This window comes from Homo sapiens, chromosome 17, assembly GCF_000001405.40.
Source record: "Homo sapiens chromosome 17, GRCh38.p14 Primary Assembly".
Classification (NCBI taxonomy): Eukaryota; Metazoa; Chordata; class Mammalia; order Primates; family Hominidae; genus Homo; species Homo sapiens.
In genome coordinates this window covers 67,242,407-67,262,080 of record NC_000017.11, presented here as the reverse complement: position 1 = coordinate 67,262,080, position 19,674 = coordinate 67,242,407, and the positions used below count along the sequence as shown (strand labels likewise).

The 19,674-nt window shown below is 47.0% G+C and overlaps 1 protein-coding gene and 1 long non-coding RNA gene across 9 annotated transcripts in view, besides 6 other annotated features; one reads left to right on the top strand and one right to left on the bottom strand.

Annotated features, from left to right (window-relative positions):
• Positions 1-17,305, bottom strand: HELZ-AS1 (HELZ antisense RNA 1). The gene is made up of 4 exons (NR_136398.1): positions 16,873-17,305; positions 3,027-3,163; positions 1,767-1,923; positions 1-123 (listed from the first exon to the last, which is right to left on the bottom strand). It is a non-coding gene; the product is annotated as an HELZ antisense RNA 1 (long non-coding RNA).
• Positions 15,687-16,673: an enhancer, noted in NCBI's record as "H3K27ac hESC enhancer chr17:65241524-65242510 (GRCh37/hg19 assembly coordinates)". NCBI's record gives its function as "activates a minimal SCP1, AML or CMV promoter by ChIP-STARR-seq in primed H9 embryonic stem cells {active_cell/tissue: H9 hESC(primed)}" and the evidence as "EXISTENCE:reporter gene assay evidence [ECO:0000049][PMID:30033119]".
• Positions 15,868-16,067: a silencer, noted in NCBI's record as "silent region_8868". NCBI's record gives its function as "represses an Ori minimal core promoter by ATAC-STARR-seq in GM12878 lymphoblastoid cells {active_cell/tissue: GM12878}" and the evidence as "EXISTENCE:reporter gene assay evidence [ECO:0000049][PMID:35858748]".
• Positions 16,078-16,167: a silencer, noted in NCBI's record as "silent region_8867". NCBI's record gives its function as "represses an Ori minimal core promoter by ATAC-STARR-seq in GM12878 lymphoblastoid cells {active_cell/tissue: GM12878}" and the evidence as "EXISTENCE:reporter gene assay evidence [ECO:0000049][PMID:35858748]".
• HELZ (helicase with zinc finger) overlaps positions 16,092-19,674 on the top strand; it is a 175,546-nt gene continuing 171,963 nt past the window's right edge. For 5 of the 8 annotated variants that reach the window (XR_001752712.3, NM_014877.4, NM_001330447.2 and 2 more), the window contains exons 1-2: positions 16,885-16,933; positions 18,242-18,297. The gene's annotated coding sequence lies outside the window, so the exon portion shown is untranslated. Of the gene's footprint in view, positions 16,267-16,884; positions 16,934-18,241; positions 18,298-19,674 lie in introns of those variants that run through there. The other 3 variants (XM_047437225.1, XM_047437224.1, XM_011525544.2) reach the window with 1 other exon arrangement.
• Positions 16,674-17,661: an enhancer, noted in NCBI's record as "H3K27ac hESC enhancer chr17:65240536-65241523 (GRCh37/hg19 assembly coordinates)". NCBI's record gives its function as "activates a minimal SCP1, AML or CMV promoter by ChIP-STARR-seq in primed H9 embryonic stem cells {active_cell/tissue: H9 hESC(primed)}" and the evidence as "EXISTENCE:reporter gene assay evidence [ECO:0000049][PMID:30033119]".
• Positions 16,718-17,207: a silencer, noted in NCBI's record as "silent region_8866". NCBI's record gives its function as "represses an Ori minimal core promoter by ATAC-STARR-seq in GM12878 lymphoblastoid cells {active_cell/tissue: GM12878}" and the evidence as "EXISTENCE:reporter gene assay evidence [ECO:0000049][PMID:35858748]".
• Positions 17,308-17,357: a silencer, noted in NCBI's record as "silent region_8865". NCBI's record gives its function as "represses an Ori minimal core promoter by ATAC-STARR-seq in GM12878 lymphoblastoid cells {active_cell/tissue: GM12878}" and the evidence as "EXISTENCE:reporter gene assay evidence [ECO:0000049][PMID:35858748]".

The window sequence follows — 19,674 nt, the reverse complement described above, 5'->3', positions numbered from 1 at the left end:
TCTTTCTCACCGCTGCATCTTTGCTTTTTTAGGCTCCTTAAACAAACTGTCTTGCATCCAATAAATACTTGGCTACCTTCTTGTGAAGAGAATCATAGGGATATTTTTACCTTTCCGTCAAGCCTATGGGGCAAAGAGATGAGTTAGGGTAAAATGTGCACCTGAAGGTTCTGAGGTTTGCTCAAAGCACTTCATTTATAGTTAAAAAAAAAATTACATTAACACATCCTTGAGCTGGAAGGGACCCTTTTCTTTGGGTATAAATATTTCTTTTTCTTTTCTGGTTTTTTTTTTTTTTTTTTTTGAGACAGATCCTTGCTCTGTCGCCCAGGCTGGAGTGCACTGGTGCAATCTTGGCTCACTGCAACCTCTGCTTCCTGGGTTCAAGCTATTCTCATGCCTCAGTCTCCCAAATAGCTGAGATTACAGGTGCACACCACCACACCCAACTACTTTTTGTACTTTTCTTTTTTAGAGACAGAGTTTCGCTCTTGTTTGCCCAGGCTGGAGTGCAATGGTGCGATCTCAGCTCACTGCAACCTCCACCTCCCAGGTTCAACCAATTTTCCTGCCTCAGCCTCCCGAGTAGCTGGGATTACAGGCATGTGCCACCATGCCTGGCTAATTTTGTAGTTTTAGTAGAGATGGAGTTTCTCCATGTTGGTCAGGCTGGTCTTGAACTCCCGACCTCAGGTTATCCACCTACCTTGGCCTCCCAAAGTGCTGGGATTATAGGCATGAGCCACCGCACCTGACTTTTTTTTTTTTTTTTTTTTTTTTTTTTTTTTTGAGATGGGGTCTCACTGTCGCCCAGGCTGGAGTGCAGTGGCGTGATCTCGGCTCACTGAAACCTCCGTCTATCGGGTTCAAGCAATTCTCCTGCCTCAGCCTCCCGAGTAGCTGGGATTACAGGCATCTGTCACCATGCTCAGCTAATTTTGTATTTTTAGTAGAGGTGGGTTTTTGCCATGTTGGCCAGGCTGGTCTCAAACTCCTGACCTCAGGTGATCCACCTGCCTTGGCCTCCCAAAGTGCTGGGATTACAGGCGTGAGCCACCGCGCCTGGCCAATTTTTGTATTTTTAGTACTGGTGGGGTTTCACCATGTTGGCCAGGCTGGTCTCGAACGCCTGACCTCAGGTGATCCACCCGCCTCGGCCTCCCAAAGTGCTGAGATCACAGGTGTGAGCCACTGCACCCGGCCGGGTATAAATATTTCTACAGCAGGCTGGAGAGACTGGAGTTTGCTTTGTTTACAGAAATCTGTTCCACCTCACTCATGAGAATTTCATGATTGTAGACGGTTGCCTGTGCCAACAATTTCAAAATCTAAAACTGGTGGGGTTTTTGCAAGTTTTGCAAAATATTTTGCAAATCCGGATCTGAGTGCCTTTGAGTGGTTTAGGCTGAGAGAGTGGGGGCTGTGGCCTAGGACCCATAGTCACTCCCAGGACATGACTCCCCTGAGTCCTCAAATGGTTCTTTAGAGTGCGGACAGGAGACCAAGATGTTAACCAAAGCAGTGAAAACGCAATGAGAATGTTCTGGCGTCTCTGAGTGTATACCCGACCACTGTGATCAAACAAACTGCTTGGCCTATTAAAAACACACTGAAAGCAACATTTTTGTTTCGCAACATATGAGAGGGCAGGTTGCCAAGTACTTGGTTATAATGTGGAATCCATAAAAATAAATGCTGCCCTTTGTCACTTTCTTCATACTGGATTAACCCTATAGTAACAGAAATGGCACAAAAGAATTACGTACTCAAGTCATTTGCACTTGGAATTCTCCTTCTTTGCAGTGACTTTCTGTAAAAATGACAAACCAGTTTTCAGTTTCAGTTTTCTCTTCTGTATGTAACTGGCCCATAGGTAGAAAGTGTCAGAAACCTTATTGAATTTTTCTACTGAAGAGGTACCTGCTGGAGACAAAAATTAAAGTTAAATTAACTAGAACAGAAAATGCCTAAGGGTTATTTTCTTCCTTTAAAGTGAAATTTGACTTATAATTAAAACACACTTTGTTTTGTAAGAAGAAAGACTTTAGGGGATACTTTTTTTTTTTTCTTCATAGCTGGTTCTTAGCCAAAATCTTCATCACTCGCTCTCCTTTCTTCTCTCCCTCCTCCTTTTTTCTTTTCTTTTCTTTTTTTTTTTTTTGAGACAGAGTCTCGCTCTGTCCCTCAGGATGGAGTGCAGTGGCGCGATCTCGGCTCACTGCAACCTCTGCCTCCTGGGTTCAAGCAATTCTCCTGCTTCAGCCTCCCGAGTAGTTGGGATTACAGGCATGCGCCATCACGCCCGGCTAATTTGTTTTTTTGTATTTTTAGTAGAGATGGGGTTTCACCATAGTGGCCATGCTGGTCCCGAACTCCTGACCTTGTGATCCACCTGCCTCGGCCTCCCGAAGTGCTGGGATTACAGGTGTGCGCCACCATGCCTGGCCTCTCTCTTTCCTTCTTTTTCTCTCTTTCCCTCCCTCCCTCCCTCTACCCCTCCTTCCCTCTACCCCTCCTTCCCTCTCTCTTTTTTTGAGAGGGAGTCTTGCTCTGTCACCCAGGCTGGAGTGCAGTGGTGTGATCTTGGCTCACTGCAACCTTCGCCTCCTGGGTTCAAGCCATTCTCCTGCTTCAGCCTCCCGAGTAGCTGTGACTACAGGCACCCGCCACCACGCTCAGCTAATTTGTGTATTTTTAGTAGAGATGGGGTTTCACCATGTTGGCCAGGCTGGTCTTGAACTCCTGACCTCAGGTGATCGCCTGCCTCGTCCTCCCAAAGTGCTAGGATTGCAGGTGTGAGCCACTGCACCTGACCCTCTTTCTTTCTTTTGTTAGAAGAGTGAAACCCTTACTTATTGAGGTGAAGGAAATTTAGACCATGTAGTCCAGTGTTTCCCTTTGATGGATAAGAAGGGCCAGATTCAGTAGTTAGCCAAAGGTCTCGTGGACCAAGGTCTAAGTCACCTCTAAACCTGGTGCTTTCTGCTTTCCCACAACATCTTAACACCTCTGGAGACCACGCTCACCACGTGAGAATTCATCACCGAACCCTGTGCTTCCTGCTGTCTTTGCTGAATGAAAAGCTCCACTCCGAACCTTCACTGATGTAGAAATAGGAAGTTGGTCTTGTGGAGCCTAAGTGCCATTCGAGTTGCAGTAGGACCTAGGATGAAAATGTCCTCAGACATAATATCCTATTTTAGTACTGATCTCCTGTAGATTAATCACAAATGCCAAACCCTGGCTACCAGGGGGTTTCTGATTTGTTTTGTTTGCTTGTTCGATATTAGTTTCAATTGAAACGTGGGAGCTAAAAGGCAGGAAGAAAATAAGTGGGTATTTAACATTCCCTGTTTTAAAACCGTTGAAGTAGTAAGAGCTAATCTTCTGTAGACTTACTCTATCCAAGCTGAGGTTTGAGAAGCCTGTAATCCCACAGTCCCTGGAAAGGCTATTGTTTTTTTTTTTTTTTTTTTTTTTTTTGGGACGAAGCCTCACTCTGTTGCTCAGGCTGGAGTGCAGTGGCGCGATCTCGGCTCACTGCAACCTCTACCTCCCGGGTTCAAGCAATTCTCCTGCCTCAGCCTCTTGAGTAGCTGGCACTACAGGCACGCACCACCATGCACAGCTAGTTTTTGTATTTTTAATACAGACGGGGTTTCACTGTGTTGGCCAGGATGGTCTTGAACTCCTGACCTCGTGATCCACCCGCCTTGGCCTCCCAAAGTGCTGGGATTACAGGTGTGAACCACCGTGCTCAGCCCATGGAAAGGCTATTTTATTATCCCTGTTTCACAGGCAAAGAAACTGTAGCAGAGAGAGGCCGAGGAGCTTGCCTGGGATCAGACAGGTCAGAGGACACAGTGCAACTCAGGGTTTGTGCTTCCCTTACAGGCAACAGGACTCCAGGAACATCATACGTTAAGTCTCTAGACCTGTCTTCAGAGGGTCGCCTTCTGTCTTCAGGCTGCCTTCTTTCTCTTCTGCGGTTCTGAGGCCTTTGTTTCCTTCCTGCTCTGCTGACTCAGGACCCCAGGAAGCCTGGCTTCCTGTCATGGACTGTTCGAGGAAGGCCTGCGGGGCTGCAGAGTCAGCAGAGGGTGCTCCGTGGGAGAGCCTGCAGAAGCCAGAGAGCCAAGGGCCAAGGCTGAGCCACACAGGCGCCTGTGCGCACACACACATACACACTCATTCACACACACACACACAGTCTCACATACTCTCATGTTCACAAACACAAGCACGTTAGCACATACATGTTCACAAACACACGCAAACACACAGACGTAAACATTCACACACACTCATCCACACACAAATACACGTTCACACATACATGCATTCACACACTCATGCATTCACACACTCATGCACACACACACACACACACACAGAACACATCTGACTAGGAGAGAGAAGGAAAAGTAGGGGATTCAAAAGTGAACTGAGAAGCCAGAAACAGCCACTGGATATGTTTGGGAGGCCAGAAATGCTGCAAACTTCTACTACTTCCTTTTAGAAAGGTTCCTGCTTTCATTAGGAAGGAGAAAAATACAGAGCTGCTTTTTTGTCAAACATATCCACTGAGTTTTAAATTTTTATTTTTTTTTTTTTTTTTGAGACAGAGTCTTGCTCTGTCACCTAGGCTGAAGTGCAGTTGTTTGATCTCAGCTCACTGCAACCTCTGCCTCCTGGGTTGAAGCTATTCTCCTGCCTCAGCCTCCCGAGTAGCTGGGACTACAGGCACGTGCCACCATGCCCAGCTAGTTTTTTGTATTTTTAGTAGAGATGGGTTTCAGTGGTGTTAGTCAGGATGTTCTTGATCTCCTAACCTTGGCCAACCCCGCGTTGGCCTCCCAAAGTGCTGGGGTTACGGGCGTGAACCACCGCGCCCAGCTGAATATTTATTTATTTATTTATTTATTTATTTATTTATTTATTGAGATGGAGTCTCGCTGTCACCCAGGCTGGAGTGCAGTGGTGAGATCTTGGCTCACTGCAACCTCTGCCTCCGGGGTTCAAGCAATTCTCTGCCTCAGCCTCTCGGGTAGCTGGGATTACAGGTGCCCGCCAACACGCCCGGCTAATTTTTGCATTTTTAGTAGAGACAGGGTTTCATCACCTTGGCCAGGCTGGTCTTCAACTCCTGACCTCATGATCCATCTGCCTCGGCCTCCCAAAGTGCTGGGATTACAGGTGTGAGCCACCGTGCCAGTCTGTTTTCTTTTAGCCTTTTCTTATTGTGAAATATAACACACTACAGAAAAGTGTATGAAACAGAGATAGCTCATTGTTTTATCACACAGCAAAGAGCCATGTCACAGAACATCAGGTCAAGACATGTACCATCATGAGCAACTCGAACCCTCACTCATGCTTCCCACCTCCTTTTAGAGGCAACCACAGTCCTAAATTTTATGGCAATTGTCTCCTTGCTAAGCATGTGTCTGTCAATGCTGTAGTTTAATTTTGTTTGCCTTTTGTTTTTTGAGACGGGGTCTTGCTCTGTTGTCCAGGCTGGAGTGCAGTGGTGTGATCTCAGATCATTGCAGCCTCCACCTCCTGGGTTCAAGCAATTCTGCTGTGTCAGCTTCCTGAGTAGCTGGGATTAGCATGGTGTGCGCCACCATGCCTGGCTAATTTTTGTGTAGAGATGGGGTTTTGCCATGTTGGCCACGCTGGGCTTGAACCCCTGGCCTCAAGTGATTGGCCCATCTAGGCCTCCCAAAGTGCTGGGATTACAGGCCTGAGCCACTATTCCTTGCCTGCTGTGGGGTAATTCACAGTATGAATGTAGAAGTTTGCTCATTCCACTGCTGAGGTACATCTGGGTCTGCCCCCAACTTTTGGCTATTATGATTCATACTGCTACAAATACTTATAGAATATTCTAATACAAATACTCATGTCTTTTGAGGTACAAGTTCATATATTTCCTGGAGTGAAATTGCTGGGTTACAGAGGATGTTCAACGTCAGTAGATACTGCCAAACAGTTTTCCAAAGTGGTTATACCAATCCAAACTTGACCCAGCTGTATTTGAGATTCCATTGCCCTACATCCTAACCATCTCTCTGTATTGTCAGCCTTTTTAATTTAAGCCCTTCTGCTGGGTGTGTGCTGCTATCTCATCACGATTTTAATTTGTATTTATTTGCTTATGAGTGAGGTTGAGCAGTTTCAAACACCTTTATCGGTCATTTGGATATCTTTTCTGGTGCATTGCCTGTTAATGGCTTTTATCTGGTTTTCTTTTGGGTTCTTTTTTTTCCTTATTGATATGTAAGAATCCTTTATATATTCTAGATCTCAGTCCTTTGTTATTCATGCTGTAAATATCCTTTTCCACTTGTGACATGACATTGCACTCTTTTAATGTTTTGTAGTGTACACAATTTCTTAATTTTAATGCAGTCAAACTTCTTAATTTTTTTCTTCTTTTTGGTTATTGATTTTTGTGTCCTGTTTAATAATTCTTTCCTACCTTCAGGTCACAAAGATATTTTAATATTATCTCCTAGTTCTGTGGTACCCAATATGGTGGCCATCTGTGACTACTTAAACAGAAATGAATTAAAATGAAACAAAAGCCAGGTGCAGTGGTGCACGCCTGTAATCCCAGCACTTTGGGAGGCCATGGCAGGGGGATGGGGGGGGGGGGGCGGATCACGAGGTCAAGAGATCGAGACCATCCTGGCCAACATGGTGAAACCCCGTCTCTACTAAAAACACAAAAATTAGCTGGGCATGGTGGCGTGTGCTTGTAGTCCCAGCTACTCAGGAGGCTGAGGCAGGAGAATCGCTTGAACCCGGGTGGTGGAGGTCGCAGTGAGCCGAGATTGCGCCACTGCACTCCAGCCTGGCAACAGAGCAAGACTCTGTCTTTAAAAAAAAATTAAAAAATTCCTCAGTTGCCTGTATTAAAGCACAGATCATAGAATACTTTCATTTTCTCTTGATTTGTACTGTTTTAGGAGCTTTATATTTTTTTCTTACATATTTAAATCTACAACCCACCTGGAATTAATTTTTCTTTGTAGAGGTTAGGTGTCTTTCTTCTTTTTTTTGGAGACAAAGTCTCACTCTTTTGCCCCTGGCTGGAGTGCAGGGGAGTGATCTCTGCTTAATGCAACCTCTGCCTCCCGGATTCAAGCAATTCTTGTGCCTCAGCCTCCGCCGTAGCTGGGACCACTGGCATGCACCACCACGCCCAGCTAATTTTTTGTATGTTTAGCAGAGACGGGATTTCACCAAAAATTAGCTGGGCATAGTGGCACACGCCTGTAATCCCAGCTACTTGGGAAGCTGAGGCATGAGAATCACTTGAACCTGGGAGGCGGAGGCTGCAGTGAGCCAAGATCGCACCACTGCATTCCAGCCTGGGCAACACAGTGAAACTGTGTCAAAAAAAAAAAAAAAAAAGCCAGGTACGGTGGCTCACGCCAGTACCAGCACTTTGAGAGGCCGAAGCGGGCGGAACACGACGTCAGGAGATCAAGACCATCCTGGCTAACATGGTGAAACCCCGTCTAGCCGGGCGCGGTGGCTCACGCCTGTAATCCCAGCACTTTGGGAGGCCGAGATGGGCGGATCATGAGGTCAGAAAATCGAGACCATCCTGGCTAACACGGTGAAACCCCATTTCTACTAAAAATACAAAAAATTAGCCGGGCGTGTTGGCGGGCACCTGTAGTCCCAGCTACTTGGGAGGCTGAGGCAGGAGAATGGCGTGAACCCGGGAGGTGGAGCTTGCAGTGAGCTGAGATCGCGCCACTACACTCCAACCTGGGGGACACAGCGAGACTCCTTCTCAAAAAAAAAAAAAAAAAAAAAAAGAGAGAAAAAAAAGAAACCCCATCTCTACTAAAAATACAAAAAATTAGCCAGATGTGTTGGCACGTGCCTGTAGTCCCAGCTACTCGGGAGGCTGAGTCAGGAGAATCGCCTGAACCTGGAAGGCAGAGGTTGCAGGGAGCCAAGATTGTGCCACTGCACCCCAGCCTGGGCGACACAGAGAGATTCCATCTCCATAAAGAAAAAAAAAATAGACTTACCAGGGGCTTAATTTTATTGGGCTTCTCAAAGAATTAACTTTAGCCTATGTTTTCATTTCTTTGTGCTTAATTAGATGTTTTTTCTAATTTCTCAACAAGAGTACTTTGTTTATTCTTATTTCAGTCTCTCTTATTTTCTAATACAGGCATTAAAAATACTTTAATTAAAAACCTTCCATTGAAGTATGGCTTTAGCTGCATCTCATTTTTGAGGATGTAATATTTTTATGAACTATCAGTTTAAAATATTTTCTAATTCCCATTGTGATCTTTTTAAAAAATGTGAGTTATTTACAAGTATATGTATAGTTTCTGAACATGTAGATATTTCCTAATTTTTAAAATTCTTATTTTCCAGCTTAATTGCATCATTGTCTGAGAATGTACTCTGTATGATTTACATCACTTGAAATTTGTTGGAACTTGCTATATTGCCGAGCATTTCATAAACATTCCATGTATACTTGAAAAGAATCTGGGATCTGCAGTTGTGGGTGCACTATTCTATATATGTCCATTTGGTTAAAGTTTGCTTATCCAGTGGTTCAGATCTATTGCTTACTAATTTTGCATATGCTTCTTTTAACAGTTACTGACAGACATAACTTCTGCTATAATCATAGATTTGTCTCCTTGGAATTCGGACTATTTTTTGCTTTATATATTTTGAGCCTATGTTTATCAGCAACACACAAACTTAGAATTGTTATATCTTCTTGGCGAATTGAGAATATTAACGTTACCCAGTGTCTTTCCTTATTTCTAGTAATGCTGCTTGCCCTAAAGCCTACTTTATTTTGATCAGTCTTTGCATGGTTGGTGTTTAAATTTTTTTTTTTTTTTTTTTTGAGACTGAGTCTCAGTATGTCTCCCGGGCTGGAGTACAGTGGCATGATCTCGGCTCACTGCAACCTCTGCCTCCCAGGTTGAAGTGATTCTCCTGCCTCAGCCTCCCAAATAGCTGGGATTACAGGCACGCGCCACCATGACGGCTAATTTTTTTTTGTATTTTTAGTAGAGACGGGGTTTCACCATGTTGGCCAGGCTGGTCTTCAACTCCTGATGTCAGGTGATCCGCCCACCTTGGCCTCCCGAAGTTCTGGGATTACAGGCGTGAGGCACCGCACCCAGCTTCAAATGTTTTAATTTTGTAAACTGCGGTAAAATATGTGTAATAGAAAATTTCCCATCTAAGAGTTTTTAAGTATACAGGTCAGTAAAGTACATTTGACCTATTTTGCCAGCTGATCTCTAGAACTCTTTTCATCTTGCAAAATTAAAACTATGTCCATTAAATAACAACTTCCCATTCTCTCCTACCCCAGCCCCTGGCAATCACCCTTCTACTCTCTGTATAAATTTGACTCCTGTAGGAACCTCATATAAGTGGAGTCATACAGTATGTGTACTTTTCTGTCTGCTTATCTGCTTTATTTTACTAACCTAATGTCCTCAAGGTTCATCCTTGTGGTAGCATGTGTCAGAATTTTCTTCCTTTTTAAGACTTAAGGCCAGATATGATGGCTCACACCTGTAATCCAGCACTTTGGGAGGCAGAGGTGGAAGGAGACCAACCGAGGCAACATAGGGAGACCCCAACTCTACAAAAAAATTAAAAAATTAGCTGGGTATGGTGGCACGTGCCTATAGGTGTGCCACCTACTCAGGACGCTGAGGTGGTAGGATTGCTTGAGCACAGGAGGTTGAGGCTGCAGTGAGCCTTGTTCGTGCCACTGTACTCCAGCCTGGGCGACAGAGTGAGACCCTGTCTCAAAACAAAAATTAGTATTTCACTGTGTGTATGTACCACATTGTATTTATCCATTCGTCCATCAGTGGGCACTTGTGTTGTTTTCATCTTTTGGCTGTGATGAATAATATTATGAATGTGGCTGTACAAATATTTGTTTGAGATCCTGCTTTCAATTCCTTTGGGCATATACCCAGAATTAAAACTGCTGGATTACATGGTGATTCTATGTTTAATTATTATTATTATTATTATTTTGAGATGGAGTCTTGCTTTGTCGCCCAGGCTAGAGTGCAATGGCATGGTCTCAGCTCACTGCAACCTCCACCTCCCAGGTTCAAGTGATTCTTGTGCCTCAGCTTCCTGAATAGCTGAGATTACAGGCATGTGCCACCACACCAGGCTAATTTTTGTTATTTTTAGTAGAAATGAGGTTTTGCCATGTTGGCCTGGCTGGCCTTGAACTCCTGACCTCAAGTGATCCGCCCACCTCAGCCTCCCAAAGCACTGGGATTACAGGCGTGAGCCACTGCACCTGGCCTCTACGTTTAATTTTTGAGGGCCTGCTATACTGTTTTCTTTAGCAGCTGTACCATTTTACATTCCCATTAGCAATGCGCAAGGGTGCATCTTTGACAACACTTGTTATTTTCTGTTCTTTTTTTTTTTTTTTCCTGATAGTGACCATCTTAATGGGTGTGAGGTGGTATTCTTTGCCCATTTTAAAATCAGATTGGGTTTTTTTTTTTTTTTTTTTTGGTCGTTGTTGACTTGTAGGCATTCTTTGTCTATTCTGGATGTTAACCCCTTACCAGATATATGATTTATAAATATTTTCTCCCATTTCTCTCATTCTGTAGGTTGCCTTTCATTTTGTGTGTTTTTTTGGGGACAGTAACTCTCACTTTGTTGCCCAGGCTGGAGTGCAGTGGTGTGATCCTGGCTCACTGTAACCTCCGCCTCCTGGATTCAAGCGATTCTCAGTCTGCTGAGTAGCTGGGATTACAGGTGTGCACCATCACACCCAGCTAATTTTTGTATTTTTAGTAGAGACAGGCTTTCGCCATGTTGACCAGGCTGGTCTTGAACTTCTGGCCTCAAGGGATCCACCCTCCTCAGCCTCCCAAACTGCTGGGATTACAGGCGTGAGTCACCGTAGGTTGCTTTTCACTCTGTTTGCATGGCTTGTCTTTGTCTATATGGTTACTTCTTTTTTTTTTTTTTGAGACGGAGTCTCACTCTGTCACCCAGGCTGGAGTGCAATGGCACAGTCTCGGCTCCCTGCAACCTCCGCCTCCCAGGTTCAAGCAATTCCCCTGCGGTAGCCTTCTGACTAGCTGAGATTACAGGTGTGCGCCACCACGCCCAGCTATTTTTTGTATTTTTAGTAGAGACGGAGTTTCACCATGTTGGCCAGGCTGGTCTTGAACTCCTGACCTCAAGTGATCCACCTGCCTCAGCCTCCCAAAGTGCTGCGATTACAGGAATGAGCCACCGCGCCCAGCCTATACTATTTTAAATTTTTAAAATCCATATCTTTTAGGTTTACTTCTTGATAACAGCATATAATTAGTTTTATAACTAGAGCAATTAGTTTATTAATACATTTAAAGTAATTACTGATATAATTTGTTTAAATCCCACCTACTTTGCGTGTTTTTTTTTTGTTTTTTTTTTTTTTGAAATGGAGTCTCACTCTGTTGCCACGCTGGAGTGCAGTGGTGCGATCTCAGCTCATTGCAACCTCTGCCTCCCGGGTTCAAGCGATTCTCCTGCCTCAGCCTCCCAAGTAGCTGGGATTACAAGCACCCGCCACCACGCCCGGCTAATTTTTGTATTTTTAGTAGAGACGGGGTTTCACCATGTTGGCCAGGATGGTCTCGATCTCTTGACCTTGTGATCCGCTCGCCTCAGCCTCCCTAAGTGTTGGGATTACAGGCGTGAGCCACCCTGCCTGGCCTTTTGTGGTCTTTTTAATCAGTATTTGCCTTCTTTTGAATTTATTATTGTCTTCCCTCTATGTTAGCTTGGAAATTATTCATTCTTTTACAGGTCTAGTGATTAACTTAGATGTTACAACATGCATCTTTGCCTTTGTCAATGTCTAGTCTTAACTGGTACTTTAGTCGTATTGCTGGATAATGTAAATACTTTGGACCTTTTTTTTGTTTGTTTTTTGCTTTTTTGAGACGGAGTCTCAGTCTGTCACCTAGGCTGGAGTGCAGTGACGGGATCTCTGCTCACTGCAAGCTCCGCCTCCCAGGTTAACGCCATTCTCCTGCCTTAGCCTCCCAAGTAGCTGCGAGTATAGGCGCCCGCCACCATACCCAGCTGATATTTTGTATTTTTAGTAGAGATGGGGTTTCACTGTGTTAGCCAGGATGGTCTTGATCTCCTGACCTTGTGATCCGTCCTCCTCAGCCTCCCAAAGTGCTGGGATTACAGGCATGAGCCACCGCGCCCGGCCTACTTTGGACCATTTTAACTCCACTAACTGCAACCACCGCCCTTCTCAGATTTATACTCACTGTTATCAAATATTTCAATTCTAGATGTACTTTACATTCCTCAAGGCATTATAATTTTTTTTTTTTTGAGACAGTCTCACTCTGTCACCCAGACTGGAGTGCAGTGGCGCTATCTCAGCTCACTGCAACCTCCGCCCCTCAGGTTCAAGCGATTCTTGATTCTCCTGCCTCAGCCTCCCGAGTAGCTGGGATCAGATGACAGGCATGAGCCACCATGCACAGCTAAATTTTGTATTTTTTGTAGAGATAGGGTTTGCCATGTTGGCCAGGATGGTCCCGAACTCCTGGTCTCAAGTGATCGAACTCCTGGCCTCGGCCTCTCAAAGTGCTGAGATTACAGGCGTGAGCCACCGTGGGCAGTCCATTATAATTATTTCTCTTTTTTTTTTTGAGATGAAGTCTCACTCTTGTCACCCAGGCTAGAGTGCAGTGGCACGATCTCAACTCACTGCAACCTCTGCCTCCCAGGTTCTAGCGTTTCTCCTGCCCTGGCCTCTGGAGTAGCTGGGATTACAGGCGCCCACCACCACGCCCAGCTAATTTTTGTACTAAGGCAAATGACCAGGGAGTGTAGTTGTAGAAGAGAAACCCAAGGACTGAGACTTGGGACTCTCCAAGCAGAAAATGAAGGCACTGCGGCCGGGCACAGTGGCTCACACCTGTAATCCCAGCACTTTGAGAAGCCGAGGCGGGTGGGTCACTTCAGGCTAGGAGTTCGAGACCAGCCTAGTTAACATGGTGAAACCCTGTCTCTACTAAAAATACAAAAATTACCTGGGCGTGGTGGTGTGTGCCTGTGGTGCCAGCATTCGGGAGGCTGAGGCAGGAGAATCGCTTGAACCCAGGAGGTGGAGGTTGCAGTGAGCCAAGATCGCGCCACTGCACTCCGGCCTGGGTGACAGAGAAAGACACTGTTTCAAAAAAAAAAAAAAAAAAGAAAAGAAAAGAAGCCACGGCCAGTGGGAGCAGAGGAGAAAGAAAAAATGTGGGAAGGAAGAGGGATGTGATGTCGGGGGGATCAGTTAGTTAGGGCTGTGTGTGTTCATGAGATCAGAATCAGAATTGAGCTAAATCAGTGGTGGCCAAGGGACCTGTTTTCCCTCAACACTGTTCCTTTCTGCCTGCCTCTAGCTGTGTGTGGTCAGTGGTCTGAAGAGATGCGAGGCAGGGCCCTCAGCATCTCACTTCACACTTTAGCACTCCTTTTCATCAACACGCCCATCCCTGAGAGAAGTTTGGTCATGTACTCGACTAATACTTGGTGAGCGTCTATGTATGTGCCAGGCCCTGGTCTAGTCACTGAGGCAAATAAGCCAGACAGAGCCTGTGCCCAGAGGGAGCATATGATCAAATGGGGGCGGGGCAGATAAGAAACAACTAACAACAGGCAAACAAGAGAACTTTTTTTTTGAGATGGAATTCTCACTCTGTCACCCAGGCTGGAGGGCAGTGGCACGATCTTGGCTCACTGCAACCTTGGCCCCCCAGGTTCAAGCAATTCTCCTGCCTCAGCCTCCCGAGTAGCTGGGATTACAGGCGCGCTGTAATTTTTGTACCTTTAGTAGAGACAGGGTTTCACCATCTTGGCCAGGCTGGTCTTGAACTCCTGACCTTGTGATCCACCCACCTTGGCCTCCCAAAGTGCTGGGATTACAGGCATGAGCCACAGCGTCCGACCTAAACAAGAGAACTTCTAACACAGGTCAAGTGTTCAGAGTGACTTGGTCTGGGTAGGGGGATCACAAAAGTCCTCTTTGAGGGGACCTAAATATGATGAAAAGATGATGGGTCGGGCGTGGTGGCTCACGCCTGTAATCCCAGCACTTTGGGAGGCCAAGGCGCATGGATCACGAGGTCAGTAGTTCAAGATCACCCTGGCCAAGATGGTGAAACCCTGTCTCTACTAAAAATACAAAAATGAGCCGGGCGCGGTGGCGGACGCCTGTAATCCCAGCTACTCAGGAGGTTGAGGCAGAGAACAGCTTGAACCTAGAAGGCGGAGGTTGCAGTGAATTGAGATCGCGCTACTGCACTCTAGCCTGGTCGACAGAACAAGACTCTGTCAAAGAAAAGATAATCAGAAGATCTGGGGGAATAGGGTTCTCACTGGAAGGAAGCTTGGGGCGCTGCAGGGAAAGAGAGAAGGCCAGCCTGGACCACTGCTGGTGAGGGAAGGTGGGACCACCTCACACAGGAGCTTGTAGGCCAGGGTTGGGAATCTGGGTTTTATTCCAAGGTTTCAGCAGAGAAGTCTCGATCTGATTTACATTCATAAAATATCACAGGGTTGGTCAGGTGGAGGATGCATTGTAGGTATCCAGGAGGGGCAGGGAGAAGAGTCGGCAGGCCGTCCCAGCTCAGGCAACAGGCGGTGTATTTGACAAGGTTGGGCTTGGATGCACACACTGGAGGCAGTGAATGGGTTGGGCAGTCACACAAACTGAACACTTATTTGGGTCAATGCCTATACAAGGCAAAGAAAGGCTGCTTATCAAAGAAACGTGTTTGGGAGACACAGTCCTTGCCCTCAACTTATTTCCTGTTTACTTATATTAGGTGGGTGCAAAAGTCACTGCGGCTTTTGTCATTACTTTTGCATAAACTCAGACCACATACCTAAAGGTGCCATGCAAACAAAACCACCATTAAGCCAGTGCATACCAGTGGCTAAATAAGTGCAAAAGAGGAATTGGAAAAGAAGCACCTGGGGTACCCTGGAAAGAGACATTGGAGCCTTCTTCAGACGGGCCAAGCATTCCCTTTTCCAGCAGGAGGGGCGCTGCCTCCCCCCAGCCTAGCCCATGCCCTTGGTGGCTACCTTGCTGGGCCGTCTAAGAACCTGGCTCCAGGCTCCAGTTTCTCCACTTATTCCGAGGTGAGAAGCAGGTGACTCAGGGGAGGTTGCTCCCCAGCACGCTGCGTTCTTGGCTGGGAATGACTCACTACCTCGTTCCCTCCTTCACGAGTGACCCGGGGCCAATCCCTTAATGTGTCTACACCTTCTCATCAGACCGGGACAATTGCCTGGTGGAGTTTTTGGCTCCCCAGGGGCAGGGCTCCTGTCTGCCACCGTTCACGTTCCTAGTGAGGCTGTTGATAGGGTCTGGAGGAGCGTAAAATCCTCGGGTAGATCCAAGGCCCCAGGCCCTCCCCGTGCACCGAAAGAGGGTTTTAATGCCAGTGCTTCTGCGGTCTTCTAAAGGTAGAGCCGTTCAACAGCATTTTGTACCGAATACAATTCGCAAGCATTCCTGTCTTGGAGAATTTTCTTTTGGGTATCTCCTTGTTGTAAAAACTTGCTTGGAAAAAAAAAAAAGCAACTGGAGCAGGCCTCCAAAGACAGCAAAGCAGGGACCAGAGGCTCTGCGGAGAGCGCGGGAGGAGGCTGACCAAGGGGCCTCCGTTGCTGGGGGGACCTGGGCGGCTGGACGCCGGGGTCAGTACGCTGCTCGCCCCGCGCAGCCGAAAGCGGGCGTGGTGTCGCGGGGAGAGGATGCCCGGCAGCAGTGTGGCCGGCGGGCTGGGGGTACTCGCCCGGGTCAGAGACCTCAGCCCGCGCCAAGGCGCCCCACACTTTCCAGCGCAGCGGGTCGCAGCCCGGAGACGCCGGGCGTCCCCACCTCCAGCCTCCCGAGCTGCAGCGGCGCCCGCGGTTCTCCCCCGACCCGCCAGGTGGACCCGGACTGGCGCACCCTGCTTTCCGCCCGGGACCCTCCCCCGAGCCCTGGCTGCCTCCGCGCCCCGCCCCGCCCGGAGCCCGCAGCCGGCGCCCCGGATTACCTGCCCCGGAGTCACAGTCCGCAGCCCGGACGCTCCCAGGGTGGCTCCGCGGAGCCTGGAGCCACATTCCTAGGGGAGGGGTCCCCACCTAGAGGGTCGCGGATCACGTTACCCGCCCGGAGGAGGAGACCGCGGGACACAGAGTAAACAAGGGGTAAAAAGTTGCATTTGGCTCAATTTTTTTTTTTAAATCGTGCTTCGACGCTGGTGGACTCGGGGACACGGCGTCCTCCCAGTTCCCGGAGCCCAACGGCCCCGGGGCGGTTTCCCAGGGCAGAGGCACCTCTCCGGGCGGCGGGTGCGGAGCTGGTCTGCGCGGCCTCTGAAGGCGACCCCGGCCGCTCGCGGGCTTCCTGGAAGCGCGGCCGCAGGAGCAGAAACGCTCACATCCACGCGCACAAATAAATCCGCGAGCAGCTCCGCGCCGCGCCGCGGGCGGCAAGGAAACCTCGGGTTGATTCAATGCAGACGCGGGGCGTCTGCCCGGGCAGGAACGCGGCGAGGCGAGAGGACCGGGCGTGGGGGCAGGGAGGCCGGGGCAGGAGAAAGGGAGAAAACCCCAAAGCCACGTTTTAAAAATGCGGGTGAATTTTCAATGCCGTCAGCCCGGGGGAGGGGAAGGGGCCAGCTGCGGGCGCCGGGGTCGGCAGTCCACCCGGGGCAACTTTCCGGGCGGGAGGCGCGGCCGGAGGGGGCGGCGCCGGCGGCGGGAGGCGGGAGTCGGGGGCCGGGGGGAGTCACTTTAAAGGCTCTTTCTTACCCATAATGCTTTGTGGGGACGTTGACAAGTGGATCCAAGATGGCGTAGAAAGTAATGACAGGTAAGTCCTGACTTCCCCCTTCTCTGCTCCTGGGGCCGCTCCGCGAGCTCCCGGAGCTCTCCGGGGAGGGGACCCGACTCCCCTCCGGTGTCCCGGACCCCGGGCGCGGCGGCCCCGGGGCAGGCTGGGGGCCTGGGCGGCCCGCGGCTGGGCCTGGGAAGCGCGGCTCTTCGAGGCGAGGCCCGGACGCTGGGGCTGTTTACAGCTTCTTCCCCTACTTAGTCCCCTTCCCCTCCGCTGGGGCCCGCAGCGTCCTGGGCCCTGGCAGGAGAGGGGGCCTTGCACGCCTGGCCCGGGAGCCTGCGGGAGGTTTCTCCGGCCCAGAGCACTCTGGGAGGGGGACTCGAGCCTCCCGGCACGTTCCCCTCCTCCGGGTCGCGGCTGGGGGTGGGGAGCGTGCGGGCCTCCCACGCCCCGCTCGATGCCCCCCCTCAGGCCTCGGACTTCCACCGGGTGGGGTGGGGGCTGGAGCGGGGGCGTGGGGAAAAGTGGGTCAGGCGTGCGCCCCCTCCCTCCCCCGCGGAGGGCTCTCGGCCCGAGATTCACTTTCTTCCCCCCTTTCCCCGCCCCCTCCTCGGAAATGCTCTTTGGCCCACAAGCACATCAACAAAAATAAAGATAGGCTCTCTTTTCCTGGAGATTCCTTGAGAGTACTCCAGTACCCTTTTCAAGGGCTCACAGACTGCAGTCTTACCTAGGGAACTTCGATTCCTCTCCCCTAAATTATTGGAGCCTTCTGCACCCTCGCCTTTGCTGAGAAATCTTCAGACAGGGCTGGAAGCCAGGGTCCTCTGATTGTTCTTGGATCGGGATCCTCAGGTTTTGTTTGCAGTTCAAAAATTGTCATTCCTTCTCCCTCACAACTTAACACTTCTCAGGCAAATCATTAATATAATAAAAAGTGTAACTTCAGAGACAGTGGATTCCTGGAGCGGGGGAAGGAGGGAGGAGTTGTCTGTCTTGCCTAGTTTGTTCTTAATTTTGCTCTCTCTTAAACTCATATTAATGAAATTTCCTCTCCTTCATTTCTTTATGTTTTTGAAAGTAAGGTCAGTCTGTGTTGAAAAAGATGATTTTATTATGTTTTTGAGTTTTAAGAGCATTGTATAATCTATTCTTTTACCTTACTGAAAGGAAATGTTTTAAGGTCAAAAACCAGACTCATTTGCAAAGCTGCACACTGTACCATTTTTGTAACTTTTTCCATTTTAAATGTAGATGCCCTTTCACTTCAGGCTGATAAAATGTTTGCTACTGATAATGTCTGTTACTGGTGTTGTATGGAAACATCTTTTCTATTTGCCTCAGGATTTGGATGAAGTAATGGATCACTAATGAACTACAGTGCTGGTGAGATGTGTAAGGTGAGACTGCAGTTAAAAATGATTTCCTTTTTTTCCTTCTTTATTTTAATCAACTGGTAAGAGTAAGGCTGAAACTGAGTAATTTGATGGGGCCATCTTTGTTTTCCAAATGTATCACTCAGTCAGTGGGTCTATGGGCAGGGCTAGATTTAGAAAGGAAAAATATGTTGAATGTACCAATCTTTTCAGTTGCTCCAACATACTCAAACATAGTGGTACTTAACTAAGAGCCAAATGTTACTTGCAGCTATTCTTGATCAGTATCTTCACCAGGGATAATTATAGTTTGCCTATTCAAATTTTCTTGCGTAACTTTACTTGGATGTCTTAATTTTATTTGTGTTTTGGTGTCTATCACCTACTGTACGTTTAGTCCCGGTGATTATGTATATGGATTTTGTGTGTACCTGGTTTGTGGGACTCGTAAAGTATACCCTTTCCGTTAGAAAGAATTAGGCAGGTCAATCACTCCTGCTTTTATTTTCTGAAAAATGGAGTAGTACTTTTCTCTTTAATAATTATTTTGAAATAAAGATGATAGTGTTGAGATCTGTTTAGCTTATTAGGAAATAGACTAGTTTGTCATTATGTCCTGATCACACACGGTGTGTGAATTTATTCAAAGTGCTTTATTTAATCTAATTTGTAATGCTTTGGATTTAAAGGATATTATTGATACAGTGTTAGTGAATAGTTTTCTGTGCTATAGAGAGGAAGAGAAGTTTGCTACTTTTACATTTTTCACGAGTTTTCTCAACTTAAAATGTTTTACTAAGTTTTTTTTTAGAAAAATAATAAGTAATTGTGGTCGATTGGTTACTGTAGTTTTTTTTTTGTTGTTTCTCCACACATCTGGGCCTCTGGATTTTGAAATCCTCTCACAAATTTTTCGTGTCTATCACAACATCTGTTTAAGAAGAATAAGCTATCCTTTTTTTTTTTTCTAGATTGAGGCATGTAATTGACATTTTGCCTTAAAAAAATAAAAACTTAGGAAAGGAAGGTGGACATAAACCAAGATTCTTTTGTAAGTGCACATACTGCATTTTCTTGTGTTTGAAACTCAGCAGTGCTTATGTTTATTTCATATAATTTTTATTTTTGGCAGAGCAAATATGGATTTTTAAATTTATTTTTATTTTGCAGATGGAGGCATATTCCTGCCTTAGACCTCCCAATTTGAACTTTATATATGTGTGTATATATACATATATGTGTGTATATATACATATATGTGTGTATATATACATATATGTGTGTATATATACATATATGTGTGTATAGATATGTGTGTATATATGTATATATGTGTATATATGTGTGTATCTATGTATATAGATAGATAGATTTTTTTTCTTTTTTTTTTTTTTTGAGACA